General features: G+C 39.2%; 1 protein-coding gene and 1 long non-coding RNA gene across 7 annotated transcripts in view, besides 4 other annotated features; one reads left to right on the forward strand and one right to left on the reverse strand.

Annotated features, from left to right (window-relative positions):
* Positions 1-1085: 1085 nt before the first annotated feature.
* Positions 1086-3628, reverse strand: TIPARP-AS1 (TIPARP antisense RNA 1). The gene has a single exon (NR_027954.1). It is a non-coding gene; the product is annotated as a TIPARP antisense RNA 1 (long non-coding RNA).
* Positions 2001-2300: an enhancer, noted in NCBI's record as "active region_20731". NCBI's record gives its function as "activates an Ori minimal core promoter by ATAC-STARR-seq in GM12878 lymphoblastoid cells {active_cell/tissue: GM12878}" and the evidence as "EXISTENCE:reporter gene assay evidence [ECO:0000049][PMID:35858748]".
* Positions 2505-21111, forward strand: part of TIPARP (TCDD inducible poly(ADP-ribose) polymerase) — a 32181-nt gene continuing 13574 nt past the window's right edge. The window contains exons 1-4 of one of the 6 annotated variants that reach the window (XM_047447936.1): positions 2505-2711; positions 5572-6529; positions 8389-8470; positions 9019-15615. In XM_047447936.1, coding sequence (XP_047303892.1) covers positions 5613-6529; positions 8389-8470; positions 9019-9297 — 1278 coding nt within the window. In that variant the 5' untranslated portion in view covers positions 2505-2711; positions 5572-5612 and the 3' untranslated portion in view covers positions 9298-15615. Of the gene's footprint in view, positions 2712-2840; positions 3307-3481; positions 3694-4578; positions 4610-5571; positions 6530-8388; positions 8471-9018; positions 15616-21111 lie in introns of those variants that run through there. The other 5 variants (XM_047447937.1, NM_015508.5, NM_001184717.1 and 2 more) reach the window with 5 other exon arrangements.
* Positions 2711-2760: a silencer, noted in NCBI's record as "silent region_14836". NCBI's record gives its function as "represses an Ori minimal core promoter by ATAC-STARR-seq in GM12878 lymphoblastoid cells {active_cell/tissue: GM12878}" and the evidence as "EXISTENCE:reporter gene assay evidence [ECO:0000049][PMID:35858748]".
* Positions 2791-2860: a silencer, noted in NCBI's record as "silent region_14837". NCBI's record gives its function as "represses an Ori minimal core promoter by ATAC-STARR-seq in GM12878 lymphoblastoid cells {active_cell/tissue: GM12878}" and the evidence as "EXISTENCE:reporter gene assay evidence [ECO:0000049][PMID:35858748]".
* Positions 3231-3590: a silencer, noted in NCBI's record as "silent region_14838". NCBI's record gives its function as "represses an Ori minimal core promoter by ATAC-STARR-seq in GM12878 lymphoblastoid cells {active_cell/tissue: GM12878}" and the evidence as "EXISTENCE:reporter gene assay evidence [ECO:0000049][PMID:35858748]".

Here is a 21111-nt window from a genome sequence, read left to right on the forward strand (position 1 = left end):
ACCTTCATTTTTGTCATGAAACTCCATCTCCATCCTGTTATTACTCTAGAAGAAAGAAAAAAAGGAAGAAATTCAAGGGGTGACTCTATTAGGAAAGGAAACGCTTTTCCAGAAATCTCAAGCATGTGTCTAGAAGTGTATCCCATGGCCATCCATAACCCCATGGGCTCTAGGGAAATGAATTTTTCAGCTAGGCACACTGTCATCCCTCCTTCAAAAAAAGATGGGCCACGTCCGAGGTAGAGATTGTAGAGGATACCTTTTCTGGAGCAGTAGAACTTCAACAGTCTGAGGGGCCTAAATCCAAGATTTTGAGTCCAGAATTTGGTGCCACTTTTCCCTTCGAGGCAATTAACATTCAGAAAGCAGTAATGGAGAGAGGCTGAGAAACTAGCCAGAGTTTTCAACTGCCTCAAGGGGAGTGGGTGTGGGATTGGGTGGGTAAAAATATTGAGTTCAGGACCTAAGGAGGAAAGATTTTAAGTTGGAACTGGGCTATACCCTGGAAGTAACTTTTAATTATTCTCTTGATTGGATTAAGGTGGTCTGTCCCTAGTCTAAATGACTACCAATATGTCACACCTCCCAATATTCACAATCTTGTGTAGTTCCTCCCCACACTGACGCTGAGCTTGGCCATGAGACTTGCTTTGGCCAGTGACACATTAGTAAGCATGATAAAAGTAAAGGCTTGCACATTGAGGCTTGTCTTTTTGGAATGTCCCCTCTTGCAATCCTAAGATTATGATGCTGTGAGGAAGCCTAAATTAGCCATATGGAGAAGCCATGTAGAGAAAAACCAAGGTATGTAGCTAACAGCCTTCTTTCTGTTCCAGCATCCTTAGCTCGTGGCTTCCATGTCCATATTTTCCACATCATGTTCACTTCATTTTTGTCATGAAACTCCATCTCCATCCTTAAGTCCCAAGACTTATGACCCTAGTTAAGCCATTCCAGCCAGGCCCCAGTATGCCCACGCTAATTGAAGCCCCAGACATCATGGAGCAGAAATGAGCCACCTGTACTATGCCCTGACTGAATTCCTGTGCCAGAGAATTCAGAATCATGAGTAAATAAAAGAGCCATTGTTTTAAGTCATTATATTTTGGGGGTGGTTTGAACACAGCAATAAATAACTGAAATACTACTAAAAGCATAAAGAATGTATAACAACCTAATTGTTACAAGGGAGTGGAATTAATAATCTACAAGAAGGCACAAAAGGACAGAAAAGAAACAGAACAAATGAGAAAAATAGAAAGCCAACAGTAATATGGTAAACTCAAATATTAGCTTCTAGGCAATTCTATGTATGAGTAGACACTGACCAAGATCTTGTCTCAATAAGATTTTAAATGTAAAGATTTTCATCTTTTACCTATTGTCCTCTGAATTCCGCCCATATCATTCTCACCTTAGTTTAATGGCCCTGCCTTGATGCAATTTGAAATAAGCTGCTAAGGAGATAACACCCTTAATCTATTCATTGCTGGTGCGCTTACCCAGTCTGGTTTAGAACCGTTTAACAAAGGCTTAGAATCATAATGTCTATGATTATTACCTCTTAGCTCCTAGTTTTACTGACTTCCATGTCTGGAATTACCAGCACTTCTTTTTCGTACATATGGATTATATGAACTAAATGTATTGTTTCTTCCCTCACTACTGAAAATCTATTCAATATATGGAGTTACAATTCAAAGTATTTTACAACCCAGAAAATATGGCCATTCCGTATGTGGTGTGTATTTCAGAGGTGCTCTGCAAGCTCCATGAGGACAGGCGTGAAGTTCAGGCTACATGCCTGGTACGTAATAGACGCTCTGACAGACATTTGCTGAATGAATAAGTTAGTCACTACGGCGTTTGTGGGCTTTAAAACACAAGTAAATGCGCTTCTATCGCCAAAACCTCACAGCTTCCCTTCTGCAAGGTGGCGTACAAGGCCCACGAAATAGTCGGCCGCCGCAGGTGCGCAGCCTGTCCAGCCTGTCCGGCTCGGGGCAGGCGACCTCGTCTGGTGGCAGTGGGGGAGGCAGCCGTTTGCTTCCTCACAGGGTGTGCCGGAATCAGAGGCTGGAGGCGTCTGGGGAGTAGGCAAATAAACAAAGCCAACCGCACCGAAACGGGTCGTTCCGTTTCACATCCTCCCTCGGGTGTCTGGGTCTTCTCGGAACAAAGTGACCCTCCATCTGTCCGCAGGCAGGTGGAGCCCGTCCCACGCGGCACGCGCCTTCCTTCCTCACAGCCGCGTGTAGACGCGGACCCTCAGGGACACTGCGGACGCGAGAAAGGACACGCCCCCTCGCGGGAGCATAAGTCCACCGCACAGAACTCGCGCGCCTCCCCTCGAACGAACGCGCACGCGCGCGCAGGGGGCGGGTCTTCTTCCCGACACCCACTGAGCGCCCGGCCTCCTCACCCCACCCCACCGAACTCCGGCCGCCCAGGCTCCGCCTCCGCGACGGGCCGTCGGGAGGAGGCGACCGGAAGCCACTTAAAGCAGAGATCGAGGTGACAGGCGAGCTGGCTGGACTCGGAGCGCGGTCGAGGCTTTCTGCGTTCGCGGCGGCGGAATGGCCCGTGCGCGGCTCGCCGCGTCGCGGCTCTGTGGTCCCTAGACGTCGGCTCCCGCCCTCGGCGCTGATCTCCGGCGCGGGCACTGCTTTCCACTCGGCTCCTGTCGTCCGTTCTCTCAGGCTCCCGTTCAGGTAAAGGGCTCCGGGAGGGCACTGAGGGGCTGAAGAACCCTAGCGGGGAGTGCGAGCGCCGGCCTCGCGGCTCCGGCCCCGGCCCCGGCCCCGCGCCGGCAGTGTGCGGGGCTCTCGCGGATCGGGGTGATTGATTTTGAGACTGCCCTTTGTACCGAATTCACTCGGGTCCCGTCAGCATGAAGATGGAATTGGTTTACACTTCTTAGGCACTTAGAGCCTGTGGCAGGTGTATACATCAGACCGAGGCGCCGAAGGATTTAGTTGGGGTCGCAGGCGCCTGCCCCTTCCCCGTTCGTCAGGGTGGGGGCGCGTCTATGCGGCCTCCCCCGCGGGCCGACCCCGGGTGCTCTGAGGCGCCTAGGAGCCCTTCCCAGACCCCGGGGGGGAGGGCACGGCAGCTACGGGAGCCTTCCGGCTACCCCGCGTTTCGGGCTGCAGCCCAGAAGTTTGGAAGATGTTTTCACATTAACTTTGAGAGCGCACAAGTCTTCGTCTTCCTCCCCGCCGCCGCGGGAAGCGCTCGCCGCCTTTCCCCCGCGCTTCGCGGCTCAGTTCTGCGAGCCCCCAAGACCCGTTGGACGCTCCTCGGGAGGTGAGCTGAGGGGGTAAAGAAGAATTAGAGAGAGAAGGCGCCGCGAGTAGTCTCTGGGATGCAGGGAGGCCGGGGCGGGTCGTTGGTCCGAAGGAGGCTGGACAGGAGTTGGGGGGCGCCCAGGCGCCTGCTGAGGGGAAGGCGGGGGCGGGGACGCCCGGGAACACCCGGAATTGCAGAGCCGGGCGGCGCCTCAGCTGCACTGCGCGGAGTTGGCGCGGCCCGGGACCAGGAGCTGAGCAAACCGCCGCGGCCAACAGGAGGCGTCACTCGGACCCGGGCTCGGCGCCGGGGTGTCGCGCGGCGGCGGGCGGGCAGGCTTTGGAGCGGCAGTTTTTTCGGAAAGTGCTTTTGGCCGGGAGTGCCGCAGAACCCCAGCGTCACGAGGTGAGGGGTGTCGCGGTGTGTCGCCTGCCGCTGGAGACCGGAGGATGTGTTCTTCTCATCTTTATTTTTCTGTTATGAAAACTAATTGAGGAGCTAGGTTCTAGTGGCTTTCCCCCTCCAGCCACTTCTCCAGTTCTCTGCTTCTTCCTCCCAGTTTTGTTTCCGAGTTTGATGAAAGGGCAATAATAGGAAAAGTTGCGCGCGCGCGCTTGCGTGTGTACGCGCAGACACACATATAAATAAAATCGATTTAGTGTCTATTTTACCTTGATTGGGTTTGATAGGAGTGGTTAGAGAGTGTGCGCGTGGGGAAAGCACAGGCCGGTTTGGTATGGTGGAGAGGGAATACCACAATCTGTGCCAATTGTGCCTTGAGGCAATAACACCAAATGATGAATAATAACGCCTGGCTTGGCTCCTTTCCAGTTGATTTATGTCTCATGTCAGATCCCTCCTTCTTCGTGAAGCTTTCCCTAACAATGCCAGCTTACAGTGAACTCTCCTTTTTCTGCCTTTTCCTTTTGTACTTATCATGTAAATTTAATACTTCGTTATAAACTGCTTTGTATTTTACTTTTCTGAATTTGATGGACTTCTTACACATAGATTTATGACTCTCCAATTAAATTTTTAATATTCACTTTTGGGGACACTCAGTTTTACCTTTTGTTGTTGACCCACAAACAACAAAGAACTAAGCATTTAATATGTGCTTTTCTTAACTAATTCAGCCAACAAAATATATATGGAACACCAGCTGTGTGCATTGTGGTAGCTAGGCACTTTATTGGGCACCTAGGATGCATATTTGATTAAGTCATGGGACCTTGCGTCACAGATCTCTTTCAGTTTATTGGACAAGAGAGAAGAGGATTAATTGCTCATCACCATTCCTTTCTCACCTGGCACAATCTCAGTAAATGTTTTCAAATTTCAGTTTTTTTCAAGGGGTCTGATTCTTGGAAGAAAGGACTTTTTCGTCTCTTTCAGTAGTTGATTAGGAATCTGAAATTTGGTGTGTGTTTTATATTTTTTTTTTATTTTTCTATAGTATGCCTTCATTTGCTCTTTAAAAATGTATGTATGTAACTTTTCTGAAGGCAAGAACTAGGAGGCTTTTTCTGTGTTACCAAGTTGTGCTTGTCTTCTGACACATCGTGCAGTGGTTGTTGCTAATGGGGCTTCTGTTACTAAACACACCCTTGTATTCCATCAGAAGCGGTAATGTTTTTGGGGGTTGTAAAAGTAGACTCTTAACATTCTTGGATAGTATATTAGAGCTTTCTGAATATAGAAATGCTTAACAGACTCCTGGCTTTCTCCCATAGAACATTTCAATTGAGAGCCCCTGTTACTTGTGTATGTTCTTATACCCTTAAATTGACTCACTGTTTTAAGTTTGAAGTTTATCTTTCATTTGATGAACTTTTAAAGAAACTTTTTGTCAACTCATGAGATAGGTGATACATAAACAACTATAAAGAGAACCGCAAAGCTGAGTGGAAATGTGGTTTCCCTGCTGTCATCATCTAGATACAGTTATTTCTACCTCCCATTTCCCACCCCACTCTAACCTTATAGTAGAAATTCTTAACCTAGCAGAATTGCAAACTCTTATGTATTCAGTCCACAAATGCATGCCAATGGCCTGTTGAAAGACTCTTCTACTTTTACCTGCTGTGTGCTTTTGAATAGCCTTGGGTGCTTTGGAGCCTTAATTTCTCGATAAAATTTAAAATTGACTTGTAAAAACTAAATATAGTATAAGAGGAATGGTTTCAGGGAATCAGTCAGGACAAAAACAAAACATTTTAATGAATGAATGAAATCCAGTTGCTGTCAGTTTGTAAATGATCATCTTCCTTCCTTTCCTCGTAGGATTTTTAGACTCTGAGGAGCAGTTGGAGCTAATCCACATTATGGAAATGGAAACCACCGAACCTGAGCCAGACTGTGTAGTGCAGCCTCCCTCTCCTCCTGATGACTTTTCATGCCAAATGAGACTCTCTGAGAAGATCACTCCATTGAAGACTTGTTTTAAGAAAAAGGATCAGAAAAGATTGGGAACTGGAACCCTGAGGTCTTTGAGGCCAATATTAAACACTCTTCTAGAATCTGGCTCACTTGATGGGGTTTTTAGATCTAGGAACCAGAGTACAGATGAGAACAGCTTACATGAACCTATGATGAAGAAAGCCATGGAAATCAATTCATCATGCCCACCAGCAGAAAATAATATGTCTGTTCTGATTCCTGATAGGACAAATGTTGGGGACCAGATACCGGAAGCCCATCCTTCCACTGAAGCTCCAGAACGAGTGGTTCCAATCCAAGATCACAGCTTTCCATCAGAAACCCTCAGTGGGACGGTGGCAGATTCCACACCAGCTCACTTCCAGACTGATCTTTTGCACCCAGTTTCAAGTGATGTTCCTACTAGTCCTGACTGCTTAGACAAAGTCATAGATTATGTTCCAGGCATTTTCCAAGAAAACAGTTTTACAATCCAATACATTCTGGACACCAGTGATAAGCTGAGTACTGAGCTCTTTCAGGACAAAAGTGAAGAGGCTTCCCTTGACCTCGTGTTTGAGCTGGTGAACCAGTTGCAGTACCACACTCACCAAGAGAACGGAATTGAAATTTGCATGGACTTTCTGCAAGGCACTTGTATTTATGGCAGGGATTGTTTGAAGCACCACACTGTCTTGCCATATCATTGGCAGATCAAAAGGACAACTACTCAAAAGTGGCAGAGTGTATTCAATGATTCTCAGGAGCACTTGGAAAGATTTTACTGTAACCCAGAAAATGATAGAATGAGAATGAAGTATGGGTATGTATTTATAACAACTTGTAGAACTGTTGTTAAATGCTATAGAGAAGGTAAAGAAGCTAAAAGCTTAGTAGGGTGGTTTCTTTCAGTAGTAACAGGTTTTCTTTTTTTCCACTATTATTCTTTTGACTGTGCTGTCCTGATTTTTCATGGTGGGTGAATGCAGGCTATTAACTCAACCGGACAATGAAAGTTTTACGATTTGAACAATTCATATGTCAGTTCAACGTGCGTGTGACTGAGAAGTTGCACATACATTAAATATTGTGAATCAAATACTGTTTTAATCACCCAAGGAAAGCTGGCTTTTGAAAGAAAGTCTGGCGAATCTTACTATAACATAAATAATGAATCTCCTAATTTATCTAATTTTAAAGCTCTGCACATTGAGCAGCTGTTATTTTTTAAAGAAAAATAGTATTGTCGAGAGATGTTTGTGACCCTCTTCATTTTGAATGGTATAAACATCTTTTCTGTGAATGATTCAGAAGTTCCTCCCATACTTCTGGATCTTTTATTAGTTTCCTTGGAACTTTTCACCATTAAGTTTATATTATAGATAAAATAAATTTTTCCAGAATTTAGGGTATTTTTTTTTTAACCTGGAAGAGTCCTTTAACAATCAGTGAAGGGATGAATTTATGGTAAGGTATGTTTAATACTCAAACAATTATCCTTGAGTTTTGGTACACAAGATGTGTGTATACACATAACTCAGTTCTTTTAGTATGGATGTCTAAGCAGCATTCACTGGCAGGCAACTGGTATTTCCACATCTGAATTCTTCTTTAAACTTTAAAATGAAGAAAATGATAGTTGCCTCATGTAAAGTTGCTAGTGCAAAAATGGCTATATAATAAGCATTAATGTTTACATCTGTAAGTTATTTCTCCTGTAGCATAGAAGGAGCTAAAGTGTGTGGTGTTAATAGCTATTTGTGTATGACCAAGAGTAAGGATTAAAATTAAAAGGGAGAGAAGAACACTTCTGTCCATGCTCCCTGATTGGGGAGGCCATGAAGGCAACCTAACAGCTTCATACTAATGAATGGCCTGGTATAGTACTGAGATGACCCATATTGGAGGGGAAAATACACTGAATATACCATCCCAGAAGTCCAAGAGAAAACAATTCCTTGAGTCATCTTTGTTCACAGATATGTTGATTTACACTACCTATGTGTCTAGAGAGTCAGCAAATGGTTGCAGTAAACCATTTCCAAGTTGTCTGATTCTGGTAGTCTTCATGTCAACCTTCTGAATTCTGACTGGTGCCCACAGAGCTTGTTCGCATTACAGAAACATGGTTTTTTTTGTTTGTTTGTTTTTTGTTTTTTCATTTATCTCGTTCCCATTCAGTAATGGGTAAATGGTTGTCTTTTAATAATTTTAATATTTCAGTTATATAGTACATAAATCCATGTGTCTTTTTAGCAACTTAATTATCATGAGACTAGAACTTTGCATCTTGTGTTTCAAAAGGGAAGTGCTGAACAAGAAGAGAAACAGTATAAAGCCCAAATTCAAAAGTATTACATAGAAGACCCTATGAGATAAAAGTAAGGTCATATCAAGAGTGTAGTTTTCCTGACTATAAATGTATTATCTTGATAATATATTACACTCAAGATTCCACCTTGCTTCAGTAGTGAAAATCTTATAATACAGCTAAGTACTTTTAACTTATTTTTTTAAGCCGGCATTGGAAGAGAAAAATGTTTTTCCATTTTATCTTAAAAATCTTTTTAATAAGGTATTTTCCAAAATCTCTGTTGCCCATGAGCTAGCAATTCTAATTGCTATGTCAAGGGTAATTAATTTTATATACTCTCAAAGCCACTCTAATCCTTCTATCTCCAGATTGCAAAACTTTGCAGAACAGCGGCTCCCACTTCACCTTCATGAAGCAAATTTCCAGTCTGCTGAGTACTTCAGCATCTTGGTACATTAAGTTTCTATCTGTTTGAATTGATCAGGAAGAAACTAGCAGGATTATTGGCCAACACATGACAGTCTGTTACCATGAGAACAAGGCAAGATAATCATTTTGATCCCAGAAAATCCAGGAATTCTTAGGTCAGGAGCATATGGCTGTTTTTTATCCTTTGGTAAGATTGTTTTGCTTAAGAATAGACATAGATATAGGCCCATAAGCCTGCATTGTTGTATTATGAGGTAGTTGCAGTGGGTGCTTGATTTCCAAATCAGTTTTAATGAAGTAAACTAATGTTTATCTGACACTTGGGAGAAGAAAAGTGTGAGTGAAGTATTATAATTACCATTGCTCCTACTACATTGTTAGTGGTAATAAGTGGTCCTGTCCTAGGAAAATAGCAAAAAGTATTAACTGTTAAATTACTAGTAAAGTGAAGTTCTCTGAAGATTACAGGAAGAAATGTTGTAATATAGTAGATAGCTAAGTGTCAAAAATTAGGCTTTTGGGAAGTTGACTTGTGGTCATTGCAACCTGGTTTTCCTTGTATTCCAAAGCGATGTTGTGTTTCCTGGCAACAAGATGCAGATAACGGCATGTTGAGCCTTGCTGAGAGATTCACAAACAAGCTGGAGCAGCCCAGGTTCACATGGTTACCACATTATTTGGCTAAAGCTATTAATCTCTGTGGTCAGGCCTGTAAAGCTGGTCTATCTGTGCAGATTGCGCATAACCAGGAAGTGTGTGTTCAGCTGTGTATATGTCGAAGTTGGAACCAGCAGTCTTTGGATTCAGAAATAATGAATGGCAGTTGTTTATCCCACTGTTTTCAGTAGTTTATATGGCTTGGTAAATCATTATCATATTCTGTATCCATAACATCTTCATTGTGTGATATACTTGGGGAAAGTTCATAGTTCTGGGTCTCTAGCAGAGATGAAAGTTCATAGTTTCAAACTGTACAGATAAAATCTTTTATTTAGCTTTGCAAATGTATTGGATTTAATACCTAAATCTAAATTATATGTATAGTGTTCATTTTGTTCTCAGGAATGAAATTGGAAAGGAAGTTGAACTAGATAAATTCACAGGACCTTTCCAACTTTTTAGTCAAGATGCTTAGATACTAAAAGCACATTAAAAAAGGATTTCAATAATACATGCTTATTTGTTCCTTGTAATGAAATTATGATGTAATCCCACTTTGCTTTCTCATTTTGCTTTTGTACATCTACAAACGTTCATTGCCAACATCAACTGCATACTAGTGTGTATGTACTTCCCAGATATAGATGCTGAGGCTTCTTTTTTGCACACGAGATGAGCCTTGGAGAATTTCCAAATTCCAAATATACAGTTGAGAAACAACATTGAGTGTTGTGTTTTCGATTAAGAAAACAGAGTCTGGAACAGTGTAGGCACTCATCCTTAGTAGACGATGACATTGGATGGCAGAATTAAGCAGTTTTAAAAGAGCCTTGCACACTGTGGAGTACTGTTGTGGATAATTGAAATTATGGAGGTTGTGCAAATCTCTCTTTAGCAAACAAGATCACCACTAGTTTCATATTACATTCATTTTAAATTGAGCCAGAACAATTTTCTATTTATTTCCACCTGTCAAGAAGGGACACACTGCAAACCTTATTTTGGAGGCTACCTGCAGGTGCACATGTGACCAATGATTATTTCTAATTCTGAATTTATTGAAAGAGAGTGGAGGTGAAGAGGAAGAGGAAAGTTGCAAACCCTGAATCCATTATTAATTTTTTTCAGAGGACAGGGTTTTTTTCTTTTGGGATTAATGCTCACTGATAAAAGAGGGAGCTTTAGTTGCTTTAAGGCTTAAGGCTAGAGTGTTGTCATAGTTTTAGTTGCTGAGTGATTTTGATTGCTAATTGCCCTTAGAAGTCTATTTTTAAACTCTGTCCAAGGGACAATACCATTAGATGACTTCACAGAAACTCTATATAAAAGAGAAATGTATATTAATGATCATAAAAAGCATATACTGTTACAGTCCCTATATGACTTGCATAGTGAATTAGCTAAACTAGAGCAAGCTCCTGACTGAACTCTACTGGAGTAGTTAAATTAGCCAAGTTAGCTCTGGCGTGCACAGCTGTGATGATGTATGAACTAACTCATTATGTGTTATTGATAACACTGGAGAGAGGAGAACAGCTGAAACTTACTATGCCTTGTGACTTTTTGGTAGTTCTTGAATATACACAGCTGGATGAGTTTAAATTTATTTTAAAAATTTCTGCCTAAGAGAAAGACAGCTCCATAAGCAAGAACTGTGTTTGAAGTGACTTTCAAAATGTGTGCCTTGTGCTTTAGGATAAAGCAATCCAATGAATTATTTTTTGTACTTCTTTATGCTACTATTTACATATGAAATAAAACTAATTGGCTTCTGTCTATACTAACCCAGAGAAGTTACTGGATCTGTGTAGAGCTGTCATGGCAATCAATAGCAATCATTTATTTATTCCCTTTTTGGTTTTTCATCAATAAGCAGATTAGACTTTTTGAAGCAGCTGCCACCTGGCTTCAGGTTGGGGTCATTCTTTTCCTGATGTATTTATGGTAATGAAAATGAACCTTGTCAAAATGATTTATAACTTTTAAATCAGACAGTTGGAGGAAATAGCTTGTAAGGTTATGTGGCATTCCCTAAAAATAATTGCATGATACATTATATATTTTATCATTGAGTTGAATCCAAAGCTCTTACTTTTTATTGTAAGTAAGAAAAAAAAGGAATACAAGTTGAATATCCCTTATCCAAAATTCTTGGAGACCAGAAGTGTTTCAGATTTTGGATTTTGGAATATTTGCATAGTACCCCAGTTAAGCATCTGAAATCCGAAATGCTCCAGTGAGCATTTGGGTATCATCTTGGTGCTCAGAAAGTTTTGGGTTTGAAGCACTTCCGATTTTCAGATTTGGGGTGCTCAATTTATAGTAGTAACTCCATTCAGCATTTAAAATTTCATTCTGCACATAGTGGGCATGCAAAAAAAAAAATGCTGACTTTTGACTGATAACTCTGTTGTGTCCCTGTAAATCTATTTCCTATTATACTAGAATTATCCTATTATACTAGAATTTCTAGATCATAGATTTACAATCTACCATAAAGTAAAGATAAACTTCATAAGTTCTTCTGTGTATTTCTAATCATGGTCAGTGATCCTTAGTTTTATTCTGGGTTTGGGTGCTATTCCTAAAGGATAAAGCAGTATGTAGTCTATGCAAACCTTGACTACTCAAGGAATGCTACAAAAATACAGCCATTTGAGATTATGACTTTTTTCCCATGGTCTCTTTTATTTTTATCTCCTGATTTGAGACCACCAGATTCTGCATCCTTTGTCTGATGGTGATGATTCTGGATTGCATTTAAATTAGGACCTTAAGTCCTCTTAACCTTAGCCAACAACCTTTAATAATTATCAGTCTCCAATTTGTGAGTTGCAATTGTCTTTTTGTGGAAGGAAAACTTAGTACATGTGTATATCATTTTTTGCAAAGGAAAAAACATATTTCAAATTGCAAGATAATTATTTTGGCACAACTTGTATGGCTAGTTCAAATTGGACACTGTAAAAGTTTTGAAAGAAACTCACTTTGTAAAAGTAGGAGAGTTTCTCTTTTATAATAAGATTGGGGTCTTAAGGTAAAGTGAGTTCGAGAGATTTTGTATCTTTGAAAAAGACCACAGTGCTGAAGGTTAAGCCATTTTCCCTTTGATTCTGGGTTTGAAATAGGTGATAGCCTGAGATCTTGATTTTACCGCTACTTTGCAACACCTTAAACAGAAACTGTACAAGGAATAAAATACTTCTGAAGTTCACCATTTCTAGGAGCAAACAAGCCACATTTTAGATGTGAAGGAATTCCTTTTTTTTGAGACCAAGTTTCAGGCTGGAGTGCAGTGGCATAATCTCGGCTCCTGCAACCTCCGCCTCCTGGGTTCAAGCAATTCTCCTGCCTCAGCCTTCCTGAGTAGCTGAGATTACAGGCATGCGCCACCATGCCCAGCTAATTTTGTATTTTAGTAGAGACAGGGTTTCTCTATGTTGGTCAGGCTCGTCTCGAACTCCCGACCTCAGATGATCCACCTGCCTCGGCCTCACAAAGTGCTAGGATTACAGGCGTGAGCCACTGCGCCCAGTGATGTGAAGGAATTTCTTTAACAAAACTAAATAGGGCTTATTTTTATATTTATAGATTGTTTATGACAGTGCTTTCTAGGGACTGAGAATTATACCGTATACAGACTCACCCCAATTTAAAATTTCTTCCTTCAAACGTTAAACCTAATCCACCTCAATCCCTGACACAGTAACTGAAAGCTTCAAATTTTTGAGATTAATTCACTTGTTAATAGTGAATTTGAAATTACAAGTGGTAGGTTCTGAAATACATTTTGAAATTTTTGAAAATTAAGGATTTTATGTACAATAAATTCTGTTTGTAAAGATTTATATTCAGTCTGTGAAGAGGACAGTATTGCAGACTTGAGCTAAATATAATCAATTCTGTGATTAGGAACTCAAATTTTAGAAGTTGATGACGTTAGTAAACTTCTAATTGTCATTTGTGAAACTTCCAATTTTCCTTGCTGACTTAGCTAGTTACTGTTACTAAGGCAAGCATTGAAGAGAGTTAACTAAGCATTCCTATTTGCCGTTTCCACACAACAAAATGTGTCTGTCTCCTGGATCTTTCTCTGCTCTATGCTGTTTACTTACTGGTAACACCCACTTGACAAGTAAAGAACCTTTGCATGGTCATCACAATGAAAGGATAAGTTCTTACAAGAGTGAGAATGCTAGAGCAACTATTCCTTTTCACCTTCTACAGAAACCAGTGACTTTCGAGTATGTGTACCACAAAAAGTTGTGTAAGGAGTGTATTGAGAATCTCCCATGACTAAGTTGTCTGAGGAAGAGTTCAGTAAATTTGTATTCTTCATGCAAATTGAAGTCCTCTGTTTTGGTGCTATTGCCTCTGAGTATAAGGAAGGATTTGTGAGTAATCTTATGTTGAAACATAGTACTTCTGGTAATGATTAGAAAATATGTTTAGACCACACTTACAAGAATTTCTCTTTATTACATTAGCTTTTCTTTTTGAATTAATTGAAGAATTCTTAAATTGTCCCACTTATACGACATAGCCAAAGAGTTTGGATGATCATCTTTGGTCTAAATTTTCACTAGCACTTGAACAGTCAGTGAAGAATGGCAAGGGTGAGGACCAAAGGGTGAACTTTGCTTGCAGTAGTGCATGTGCTTTCAGAATCTTGCATGCACCCTGTGATCTTCACAGTTCCTGCAGCTGATCAAGGTGTAGAGAGGGCAAATGGCACAAAATACTCTAAATAATTTCCTGCTGTGGTTGGTCTTTGGTTTCTGAGTGTCACCTGGCTTAGCTCTTTCATTACCAGGCATTTAGAGAGTAAAAATTAGCACAGGATAAACACTGGGTTTGCCTTCTAAGGTTTAATTACTCATCCTAATAAAAGAAAGACATCCTTGAATCTGTGCAGAGTATGTGAAACAGAGTCAGGGTAAAGTATGTGAAACAGAAGGAACTTTGCTTGCTTGCTTTCTGACATTTGGATTATCCAAATGCTGGCAGACATCAGAAGCATTATGTAAAGTGTTCTACAAATTTGTTACTCAGAAATAATTTCGACTCTCTTAACTAATTGATAAAATTGAATCTATCATAGAAACTTGGCTTTGTAGAATCCAACTCCCTCAGAAAAAGTTACCAATTTAAGACGATGTTTGAAAGGTTTTGTTATAGCTTATAAAACCTAGACAATAAAAAGACTCTCTGTCTTTTCTCTAGGAAGTCTTTTTCTCTAGCAATTTGTTTAAAGAACTATCAGAGTGATGAATTCTCTATATATAGGTTGCTTGTATGCATTCAAATCTCTAGTCTGCTGAAAGCTGTTTACTCTTCTCTGGGTTCTTAGCATCAAATACGTAATAAGTCACCAATGAGTATATTTCTGATTCTTTCATTGATCAGTTAGTTCATCTGGACTAATTGGGGAAAAAGCCAAAGCTAAATAATAGAAAATTCTGAGTAAAAACCTTTTTATGGGTATCATTTGTAATTTAAAAGTCAAAGCAGAAATAAATTAAGCTAATAGTTTATATCTTACTAGGCATTAGAAAATATTTTTATGATAACTATAACTAGTAGTTATGTGTAAATGAGTGCTGAATTGAGGTATTTGAAAGCAACTTATTTTTAAGTAATTTTATCATTTACATATAGTATTATATTTATGTAGAAAAAATTATAAAAACGTTTATTTTATCCCTTTTTAAGGGATGTCAAAGTCTATATTCAAAAAATTGAATTAACCACTATTTGTGCCTTGAATACATGGGAGGCATTTTTTATTGTTTACTTTGAGATAAGATAGAAACCTCTCAGTTTTAAAAATATTTTTCTTAACAGAGGGGATATCTACTCTTTATAAAAATCAGTGATTGCATAATTTAAGGTAGTATAAGGCATGCTACCAATTTATAAAAACTAACCTGTGCCTTCTATCCCAGCTGTTCTTACAGAAATTAAGTTTCACTTTCTCATCAGGCTATGGTTGAGAAGTATGTCTCATTTATAGTGCCTTCTGTGATCTTAGGACATGTGACTAAACTTGAATAAAAGTTAAGGCTGTATGACATTTCTGGTACCTTCATGATGCAAAATTTAATCCCACACTACCATAAATAGATGGCAGTGAGATCTTCTGATCTCATAAGTGTAATTTTTATTTATGAAAGATTTTAGACTTATCCACATTTTATTGGAAAGTGTTTTTGTGTTCTTTGCTTTGATCTGTAGTTGTGTAATAGAAAACAAACAACAAAAAAGCCAGCATAACAATATTTTAGTAGGTTCTTTTCCTTAAGTAGATACTGTAATTTGCTTTTAGTGGTTGCATTGGGGCCGGTGGACTTCATTGTATGGTATTATTTATTAGGGGTTTAGCAAACATCTAGATGTATTCAAATGGCTATGTCTTAGTATCAGTGTGTTTTGAGAATAAACTGTGTTATGTTTGTTTAGCTCCCCACATGCTTTTGGAGAATATACAATTAAAAAGCTTAAAAACAGATAATCTTTTTCATTTAGGAAACTTACCTGCCTCTCTTCATTTCACTGGGTTCACTTCTAGAATGACTTTTAAGACTACAGATGTCTAACGATTTATGAATCAGACATGAGGTTTGGCACACAGATAAATGTGATTTCAGACAGCATCCTTCTCACTAACTTGCTGCCTTCTTGGAATAAGAATTTCCAAGATGTCTCAGGAGGTACCAAGGGAGCAGCAACAAGGCCTAATGATCACTTCTTCAAGAATTTATCCCAAGAAATGCATTGTATCTTAAGTTGGGGAACACTTTTACCTACTCAAAAATCTTTTGAGGTATTCAGATAAATCCATGATCTGAGTTTTATGTTAATAGTTTTACAGTGTCATAGTGTGGTAATTAAGTGTAGAATTTTAACCTCTGAGGCTGGGCGCAGTGGCTCACGCCTGTAATCTTAGCTTTTTGGAAGGCTGAGGCAGAAGAATTGCTTGAGACCAGCCCAGGCAACATGGCGAAACCTTGTCTCTACAGAAAAATACAAAAATTAGCTGAGTGTGGTGGATCATGCCTATAGTCACAGCTACTGGGGATGCTGAGGTGGGAGGGTAGTTTAAGCAAGGGAGTTTGAGGTGGCAGTGAGCCTAGTTGGCACTATTGTACTCCAGCCTGGGTGACAGAAGACCCTATCTCAAAAAAAAAAAAAAAAAAAAAAAAACTGAAAGAAAAATAAATTTAATCTCTGGTGAGTATTAAAAGATGTTGCTTTGGATGTAAGCATTTATGAATAAGTTTTATTGCCGCCCCCCCCCGCAATAAGTAGCCCTGTGCTACTTATTTGAGGCAGTGTTAGCAAAAATCTTAAGTAGCAACAGAATAAACAATAGTTTTGCTTCTAAAGAAGAAAGTTACGAATACATAGTTTTCTGAAGTTTAATAACTACACTGTTTTCACAAAATGTGTTGGTATTGTGTATGCCATGGCTTTGATTCTCATCACCTTGTAACACATTTGAAGGGATATAAGCTGCCAGATATTCCAGCATTGCTAAATGAGTCCTGGAAATATCAAAGCCAGGTATCAAAAGCCAGCTATATTTTGTTCGCCAGTGAAATTTCTTTAGCAGCGGCAAACATATCCCATCTGCTGTGCCTGTCTCAAGCCAGTAGCGGAACCTCAAGTACTCTCCACATTGCATTTAATCTTTATCTTTCTATCATTATGACCCTCCGTGTTGGGAGATATTTTCACTTTACATCATAATAATAAAATAAAAGGACACTACTAATTGTGTATGGTGAGTCTAGCTGATTAGGGTGTGTGTTAATTAGTTTGAGGTCACAGGCTTATCCTTGGAGAAACCAGTTAGCTCTTACAGGCAGGAAGCCAAGGTTCTGAAGTCTAACCGATCTGGTTAAAACTGTACAGAGTAGGATTCAGAAAACTTTGTATTTAATCAACCTATGCCAAAGTCTGAGTTCTATGTTTTATTTCTATCACCTTCCCACTTAAACCTGCTGTACGTCTGGTAATTTGTCTTGTTAATAGCACCATTATCCAACCACCCAGACCAGAAACATGGGACACATCCTAGACTCTTTTCACTCTCTTCTGCCCCACGTGTAATTATCCTTCATGCAGTTAAATTCTAACTCTTAAATACTTCAGCTCATTCCTACATTGCCTCCTTAGTCCTCTTTCATCATATGTCTCTTGTGCAGTTCTAATAACTATACATGGCTGTTCATAGAATAATATTGATAAATATCCTAATATTTAGCAGTTGAATGGTTTTTCTCTACCTGTCCACTGCCAAAAATAAATAAGTAAATCATTCTTCTATACCACTACAACTGGAGTGACCTTTATAAAGGCAAGTCTGGACTTTGTTGTAAATTCACTGGTGTTTCCTACTGCCCATAGAATCAAGACCTAACTTCTTAACACAGTAAACAAAGCTCTTCATTATCTGGCCCAAGCCAACTTATCCAGTCCAGTTTTATCCCTTATCTCTCATAGATACATATACCCTAACCTCCCACATGAACTGGGTGTGCCTCTTGCACACTATTCTTGTGTGCCTTGTTTGGTTAGCTTCTACACATGGAGTCACTCCGCATGTGGTGTCCTGCCTCCCATTGTTTGCCTGGTAGCTGGACCTGGCTCACATTTTATCCACTCTGGAACAACTCCCTTGACCACCTTTCTTGACACCTTTTCCAGCAGAGGTAAGCCATCTGCTTCTGACCACCTTTGTGCCACACTTCACACTATGCTGCAAGGTTTCCTTTTCCCACTAGATTGGTGCTCTGTGTCATTTTGCCTTTTTCATTTTCTTATGGCCAAAGCAGAGCCCAGTACCAAATTAATGTGTCTACTTTAAATTACTTTGCTTTTTTTTTGGTCTCATTTTCTTCTTGGTTACAAACACTTTATAAACAGAGAAACTGCCTAAAATGGTTACACTCTTTACTGAGCTCCCAAATGTATAAACCCAAGAGCTATTTATCTGAGAAAGAAGTCGTGTTCTTACTATTTTCTGTTTCATTTAGCATCTTTTTCTTTTTTAGTTTTGGTTTGCATTCCAACTGTTTATTATTCATGTCATAGGTCCTTTTTACTTTCTTTTCAGGATCTTAAATACTAAGATATTAGTATACTTATTAAAGAAATATGTGCGGCATACTTTCTGACTTAATGTGGGTGTTGGTGCTCTATGCATTGGTAATGTATGTCGGAAAATGTTGGCTTAATTGGTATGTGCAGATATTTGTTGAATAAGAGGAGAACCATTGTTATAAAGCATCTAAATTATGAGAATGGGCGTCCTTTTCAGCATTTTAAATTAGTGTTGTATATGGATTCTTATAGTGGGATGTGTGGTGGTGAGATGTGGAAAAACAGAATTGTTAATATTTCAGCGGTTCAAGTTCATTCTTCCCTTAATAGCAAAAATCAGCAGTCTGTTCACAAGGTTTTGTTTTCTTCTGGTTCATGATAGGGCTGTATCTTAGATAAAACAATACTGATGGATTTAGCCATCTGATACAAATAGCAAGATATAAATCCTACTGTACAGTGGCTATTACCCATACTCTTTTTTGGCTGTCCCTCAGTAGAGATGCCTTTAGACCAGATGGGGTTTTCATCCACAAGGATTATTGCACCTTGCTTTTACAGAGACACCCCCAATCTCTAGCACTGTCTCTCTTGCTCAGTTTCCAACATCCTGTATTTACTGCTTTGACTCTAACTTCATCTGCTCAATACTGTAAATTCCTAACCTTATATCTTAAGGCTCTGACACCCTGGACTTAAACGTCCACAGTTTGTTGCCTGAAGTCTCTCACATTGCTTGTTTTACCCCCTTATAGGAATTTACAGGTTCCCATTTCCTCATCTCTCAGATACCCCTGTTTAGAAGGTCTCCTTTTCCAACTAGTACCAATCCTGTCTCCACCCGTCTTTCAAGAAGCAAAGTGCTTGGAGACCTCTTTTTCCTTGTTCTTACAGCTCTTTACTTACAGTGATATTTCCTGTTATTTAAACTGCTTCTAAGATTCTTCTTCTTGCAGAAAGCTATCTTGGATTGATAAAGTAAAACCTCTTAATTTTCCTGACCTTTATCCATTACTGGATGCCAATAACCACCTCCTCTCCCATATTGCTGCATGTTTATTCTTTGTCTCTTATTTCCTGAATGTACTTGCCACTGGTGAATTTAGATAGGCAGATGTACTGCTTCTTTGGCTTACATTTTGTTAGTTATTCCTTTCTTAACGCCCCTGGAAGACAGGGACTACATCTGTTTAATTCTTCGTGTATTGCCCAGTAGAGCCCACCATCACGATTATCATACATAGATGACTCATAATTGCTTTCTGATAATAGGAAGCAATAGTTTGATAAAGAAGAATGTGGTGGCTGTTGAACATTTGGCACCCATATTGCACACATTTATGCTGATGCAGATTGTGGAGAAAAAAACCTCTTGGCTTTAGATTTTTAAAGCATTCCCTGTTTAAGGGAGAGCAGGTGGTAAAATTAATCTTACAAAAAGATAATTTAATGTTTTTCAAATTTATGATTTTTGTCTCTGTCAAGTTTAGAAAAAGCATATTGAAAATCAAATAGAGCTAAAACAGTACTTTGATACATCAATCCAAAGAACAGTTGATTGTAGTAAATTAGGATTTGTCGTAGAAACTTCATAATGCCCAAAGGACTGACATGCACAGAGAATGTAGCAAAAGCTGCAGTTGTAGATGTCTTTCTCATGCAAATCATTATCTATGAAGTCTCAGTAATACAGGCTTAAACAGAAATTGCTAGAGTGATGTCCAGAATAAAATCTGACACTAAACAGCAAAAAGCATTGGCTGTTTATATTATAATGCATGTTAACATAATGACTGCTGTTCTAAGAACTCCTTAAAGGAAATACTGAGGATTTGTGACTCATAATTGGGAACAGTTGCTGGGCGATAAGCTTAAAGGGGGAAAAATATGTTTAGAAACTTGAAACAATCTTAACAGGGAGAAAGTTTTTTATCTCACTTCCCAATCATAACATCAGATTCTCCTAAAGTTAATGAAAATTGCTTAAGGCAACTTGATATGAAGTTTAATTTAGGCATAGGAGTTCCAGTTTACAGGACTTTTTTTGTTTTTTTGTTTTGTCGTGTTTGTTTCACTTTTTAGGATTTCCCAGAAACATTTTTCTATTTGAATTAAATATTCCTACTTACCATAAATCATTTTAAAACAGTGGCCAAATATTATTTTAAACTACATTATATTATCTTATTTCATACTTAATTAATATTATATGTTGTTTTTGAGACCATATCCAACTAGTTAGTACTCTTACTAAGCAAGAAGTTTGGGGTTTATTGGCAAGATCTTTAGGAATTTTAAAGGAGTATACTGCTTTTTTGTAAGTTCCATACTTTTTGGCTTCATCAGTTGGTTATATGGTTGTTTTTTCAGTGTAGAACCTGATTCATAAATTGTGAACATTGGGATAGAGGATGGCAAATATTTGTATAATCTGTTTTTCAAATATTTGTCTGCAGAATCTTTTGTGCACAGAATACCTGTTAATAGTTTTTGAAACAAGTATTCTAAGAGCAGATTTTGGAAAATGTGCTAGCTAGCAAAACCCGTAGATCAAATTTTTTTTTTTAGACAGTTTCACTCTTTTTGCCTAGGCTGGAGTGCAGTGGTGCAACCACAGATCAAATTTAATATCCTTTTCAAAATCCTAATTTACAGCAAGGAAATAAGTTAATTATTGGGAAAATCTGTCTCAACACCTAGACTTCACATGTACCAGTCTTTCTGAATGCCTGTAGATCTAGAGTATTTCCTGTGTTGTAGACATCCATTTAGAAATCTGTGGTACACTATGCTACAATATCTGTGCTGTTATCATATATTTAATTTTTTATATTTTCTTATAGTAACTTTCAAACATACACAAAAAAGAAAAGAGAGAAGAGTATAATGACCATTAT

The sequence above is a fragment of the Homo sapiens genome, chromosome 3 (assembly GCF_000001405.40).
Source record: "Homo sapiens chromosome 3, GRCh38.p14 Primary Assembly".
Classification (NCBI taxonomy): Eukaryota; Metazoa; Chordata; class Mammalia; order Primates; family Hominidae; genus Homo; species Homo sapiens.